This window comes from Homo sapiens, chromosome 11 (assembly GCF_000001405.40).
Source record: "Homo sapiens chromosome 11, GRCh38.p14 Primary Assembly".
Lineage (NCBI taxonomy): Eukaryota > Metazoa > Chordata > Mammalia > Primates > Hominidae > Homo > Homo sapiens.
In genome coordinates, this window is record NC_000011.10 from 36677161 (window position 1) to 36683160 (window position 6000).

Genomic DNA, 6000 nt, shown 5'->3' on the forward strand with positions numbered 1-6000 from the left:
CCAAGACTAAACCAGGAAGAAGTTGAATCCTTGAATAGATCAATAACAGGCTCTGAAATTGAGGAAATAATTAATAGCTTACCAACCACAAAAAGTCCAGGACCAGATGGATTCACAGCCGAATTCTACCAGAGGTACAAGGAGGAACAGGTACCATTCCTTCTGAAACTATCCCAATCAATAGAAAAAGAGGGAATCCTCCCTAGCTCATTTTATGAGGCCAACATCATCCTGATACCAAAGCCTGATAGAGTCACAACAAAAAAAGAGAATTTTAGACCAATATCCCTGATGAACATCGACGCAAAAATCCTCAGTAAAATACTGGTAAACCAAATCCAGCAGCACATCAAAACGTTTATCCACCATGATCAGTGGGCTTCATCCCTGGGATGCAAGGCTGGTCCAACATACGCAAATCAATAAACACAATCCATCATATAAACAGAACCAACGAGAAAAACCACATGATTATCTCAATAGATGCATAAAAGGCCTTTGACAAAATTCAGCAGCCCTTCATGCTAAAAACTCTCAATAAATTAGGTATTAATGGGACGTATCTCAAAATAATAAGAGCTATTTATGACAAACCCACAGCCAATATCATACTGAATGGGCAAAAACTGGAAGCATTCCCTTTGAAAACTGGCACAAGACAGGGATGCCCTCTCTCACCACTTCTATTCAACATAGTGTTGGAAGTTCTGGCCAGGGCAATCAGGCAGGAGAAAGAAATAAATGGTATTAAATTATGAAAAGAGGTTTAGTCTTGGGAGGGTGTATGTGTCCAGGAATTTATCCATTTCTTCTAGATTTTCTAGTTTATTTGCATAGAGGTGTTTATAGTATTCTCTTATGGTAGTTTGTATTTCTGTGGGATCGGTGGTTATATCCCCTTTGTCATTTTTTATTGCATCTATTTGATTCTTCTCTCTTTTCTTCTTTATTAGTCTTGCTAATAAATATTTGTTGGCAGACGACATGATTGTATATTTAGAAAACCCCATCATCTCAGCCCAAAATCTCCTTAAGCTGATAAGCAACTTCAGCAAAGTCTCAGGATGCAAAATCAATGTGCAAAAATCACAAGCATTCTTATATACCAATAACAGACAAACAGAGAATCAAATCATGAGTGAGCTCCCATTCACAATTGCTTCAAAGAGAATAAAATACCTAGGAATCCAACTTACAAGGGATGTGAAGGACCTCTTCAAGGAGAACTACAAACCACTGCTCAATGAAATAAAAGAGGACACAAACAAATGGACGAACATTCCATGCTCATGGATAGGAAGAATCAATATCGTGAAAATGGCCATACTGCCCAAGGTAATTTATAGATTCAATGCCATCCCCATCAAGCTACCAATGACTTTCTTCACAGAATTGGAAAAAACTACTTTAAAGTTCATATGGAACCAAAAAAGAGCCTGCATTGCCAAGTCAATCCTAAGCCAAAAGAACAAAGCTGGAGGCATCATGCTACCTGACTTCAAACTATACTACAAGGCTACAGTAACCAAAACAGCATGGTACTGGTACCAAACCAGAGATATAGACCAATGGAACAGAACAGAGCCCTCAGAAATAATACCACACATCTACAACCATCTGATCTTCGACAAACCTGACAAAAACAAGAGATGGGGAAAGGATTCCCTATTAAATAAATGGTGCTGGGAAAACTGGCTAGCCATATGTGGAAAGCTGAAACTGGATCACTTCCTTACACCTTATACAAAAATTAATTCAAGATATATTAAAGACTTAAATATTAGACCTAAAACCATAAAAACCCTAGAAGAAAACCTAGGCAATACCATTCAGGACATAGGCATGGGCAAGGACTTCATGACTAAAACACCAAAAGCAATGGCAACAAAAGCCAAAATTGACAAATGGGATCTAATTAAACTAAAGAGCTTCTGCACAGCAAAAGAAACTACCCTCAGAGTGAACAGGCAACCTACAGAGTGGGAGAAAATTTTTACAATCTACCAATCTGACAAAGGGCTAATATCCAGAATCTACAAATAACTTAAACAAACTTACAAGAAAAAATCAAACAACCCCATCAAAAATTGGGCAAAGGATATGAACAGACAGTTCTCAAAAGAAGATATTTATGCAGCTAACAGACACATGAAAAAATGCTTATCATCACTGGCCATCAGAGAAATGCAAATCAAAACCACAATGAGATACCATCTCACACCAGTTAGAATGGCGATCATTAAAAAGTCAGGAAACAACAGATGCTGGAGAGGATGTGGAGAAATAGGAACACTTTTGCACTGTCGGTGGGACTGTAAACTAGTTCAGTGATTGTGGAAGACAGTGTGGTGATTCCTCAAGGATCTAGAACTAGAAATACCATTTGATCCAGCCGTCCCATTATTGGGTATATACCCAAAGGATTATAAATCATGCTGCTATAAAGACAGAGGCACACGTATGTTTATTGCAGCACTATTCACAATAGCAAAGACTTGGAACCAGCCCAAATGTCCATCAATGATAGACTGGATTAAGAAAATGTGGCACATATACACCATGGAATACTATGCAGCCGTAAAAAAGGATGAGTTCATGTCCTTCGTGGGGACATGGATGGATTGGGAAACCATCATTCTCAGCAAACTATCGCAAGGACAGAAAACCAAACACCACATGTTCTCACTCATGGGTGGGAATTGAACAATGATCACACTTGGACACAGGGTGGAGAACATCACACACTGGGCCTGTCATGGGGTGGAGGGAGCCGGGAGGGATAGCATTAGAAGATATACCTAATGTAAATGATGAGTTAATGGGTGCAGCACACCAACATGGCACATGTATACATATGTAACAAACCTGCACGTTGTGCACATGTACCCTAGAACTTAAAGTATAATAAAAATAAAATTTTTAATAAAAAGAAATTGTTTTTAGGTGGCTAGAAAGGGTGAAAGTTCTTGGAAATTTCCTTTAATAAAAAGCAACCCCTAAAACATTTTTTTCTAACAAAAAGTGTCTTGAAAAGCCAGACCTGCAAGCATTGATATGCCAATGCCTGTGGCTAAAAACCAGGTCCACCCAATATGGCGTCTCCCACCCTCTTTTCCCTGTCACCACGTGTGCCAGGTGTCATAGCAGCCTTCAGATAAAGCCACGTGTACAAGCATCATGGCTGCCACCAGATGGAGATCTCATTTGCATAATAAAAGGCTAGGGTGGGAGGGCCAGTCTTTTCCTCAGCTACATAAATGGCACACCTGGTCAACCCAATACCTTGAGCCTTTGTAAATCAGTCACCGCCTCTTCAGCCCTCTGTACAAAACTGGGTTCCGCCACCAAAGAGACCCTCTTCAACCCGCTTTCTCAACATGAGGAAGCATTTTCTCTCTCTTTTATTTTTCTGTTAAACTTTCCGCTCCTGAACCCACTCCTCATGTGTGTCCGTGTCCTGAATTCTTTTTCAACTGAGACCAAGAGCCAGGGTATATATCCCAGACAATAGAGCCATTTCAACATTGCCAACATTGTGCACTAAAACATGTGGACTTAGGACCAAAGGGGAACTAGGAAGGGAAAGTGAAGTAGGTAGGAAGAACAATTTCATTTTTGTAGCTGTCTGTAAAGCAGAATCCTTTATCCATTCATTAAGAATGTTAATGCTCGTAAGAGTTATCAAAATTTAGAGGTTGACCTAAAGCCTAATTCCCCTGTTTTCTTTGTATTTTATGTATTCTGACTGCAGTGTAAGCCATGAGAGGGTTTTAAACAGAAGAGATGGGTGATTTTTACTTATATTTGAGGGAAGATGGGTGGAAAGGGAGCGGGGCTTAGGAGTAGGTGATTGAGAAGAGGTGAACCTAGAGGGGTGTGCAGGGCCAGATTGCACAGGGCTTTTTGGCTTTTTCTCTCTGGAATTTTATATGATCTCAATTTTATATTCTTAATATTCTGATTATGGTGATATGTGTTGGCATAGGTCTATTTTCATCCTTTGTGCAAAGTACTCAGTAGCCTCTTAGCCTGGAAATTTAGATCTTCAGTTTCGGGAAATTTTCTTGAAATTTTTTCTTCCTTCCATTTCCTCTTTATTATCTTTCCAGAATGTCCACTTTTCAGATGTTGAACTTCTTATATTGCTACTATAATGTTTTCCTATTTTGATTTGCTTGCTCTATTTTCTGAGATTGCGTCAACTTTATCTTGCTTATTTTTATTGCAATGTGTGTAATATTTTCTTTTTTAAATTTCACCTTATTTTAACTTTGCAGAAAAAGTCATTTCCTTTTTTTAAAAAGAGGTAAACACCAAGAAAACACATCCTTCTCTGCCAGAGTTGCAATAGCACTAGACTATCAGAACATGGAGATGAAGACAGTGTCTTATCCTCTTTATAAGGTTGAGTATAGTGCATATCGATGGGAAGCACATGAGTTTATAATGTTGAATAAATGAGCAATAGAGATTGGATGTATTGAAAGAGGGTCTTGGGTATTCTTCTCATGCTGGAGAAAACCTCAGGTGTGACCCAGTTGTAGCTAGGTAAGTTCTAGGATCTCTGACACTGAGAAAGGGAAGAAATGCATGAGTGTGTTGGGTCTTCTCTGGAGAGGGCTTTCTTGTGCATGCACAAGTCATTCATATGTTCAGAACATTGTACTCTAAAGCAGCAGCTCTTTCTCACCCAGATATTCCTCCATCCTGTTTATAGCACCATATTGGTGGCCAGAGCCTCTGCAAAAATAACCTTTTGATTTCAATCTCTCCTCTGTATTCCGCCTGCCATGATTCAGGCCTTTATTTTTACTTACCTCTTTTGGGAGCCTTCTTATTTTCTAATTAGTTTCTAAATGCCTCTATTCTCTCAATTCTAGTGTTTTTGTTTGTTTGTTTTTTGTTTTTGTTTTTGTTTTTTTTTCAGATGGAGTCTTGCTCTGTTGCCCAGGCTGGAGTGCAGTGGCACAATCTTGGCTCACTGCAGCCTCCGCCTCCTGGGCTCAAGCGATTCTTCAGCCTCCTGAGTGGCTGGGATTACAGGTGCACACCACCACGCCCGGCTAATTTTTGTATTTTTAGTAGAGATGGGGTTTCACCATGTTGGTCAGGATGGTTTCAAACTCCTGACATCATGATCTGCCTGCCTTGGACTCCCAAGTGCTGAGATTACAGGCGTGAACCTCTGCGCCCAGCCTATTTTTACTTATCTCCTTTGGAAGCCTTCTTATTTTCTAATTAGTCTCTAACTGCCTCTATTTTCTCAATTCTAGCATATTTTATATGAATCTTTGTGTTGCTATCCTTTTTTTAAATAAGAAAACTACCACTAGCTGCTCATTCTCTATTGAATTATTAAAAATGTATCAATTTAGCATTCAAGGACTCATTCTCATGCACCCCAAGATACCAACAAAACTGACTACAAGTGTCTCCTGAGTATTTCCTTCCACCTAATGCCTTTCTTCTTATTGTTCTCTCTTTCTGGATGGTCACCCCTCATTTCTGCCCAGGAAATTTCTGCTCATTCTTTAAGATGCATCCCAGGGGTCACTTCCTTCATGAACCTTTCAGATTCTCCCAACCAGGTGTCGTTTCATCCTCTACAGAGCCTTGGAATGATTGTGTAACACTCTTGGCGCTCATCACATTCCAGTTTGTATTGTAGTTATTTGTGTACAGGTTTTCTCTCAACCTCAAGGGCAAAGGCCAAATCTCATTCACTCTTGCCCCTTAGTAAAGCTCTGGATCTTGCACATTATGGTGTTCATCATTGACTTCATTTACTTAGGAAACCCAGGTTGTGTACTGCAGAAATGGATCACATGAAAATTTATATTCTTTCAACTAATATTTATCTGGTGTCTAGTTTCTTTGTTAACATTTTGTTACAGAATCAGATAATTAATGTCATGATTTATTAATCCATTGAATTTACAGTAAAGAAACTAATAAAAAATGTCTGCACAGGCTGCACCAGAATGTTGATTTATAGGGATA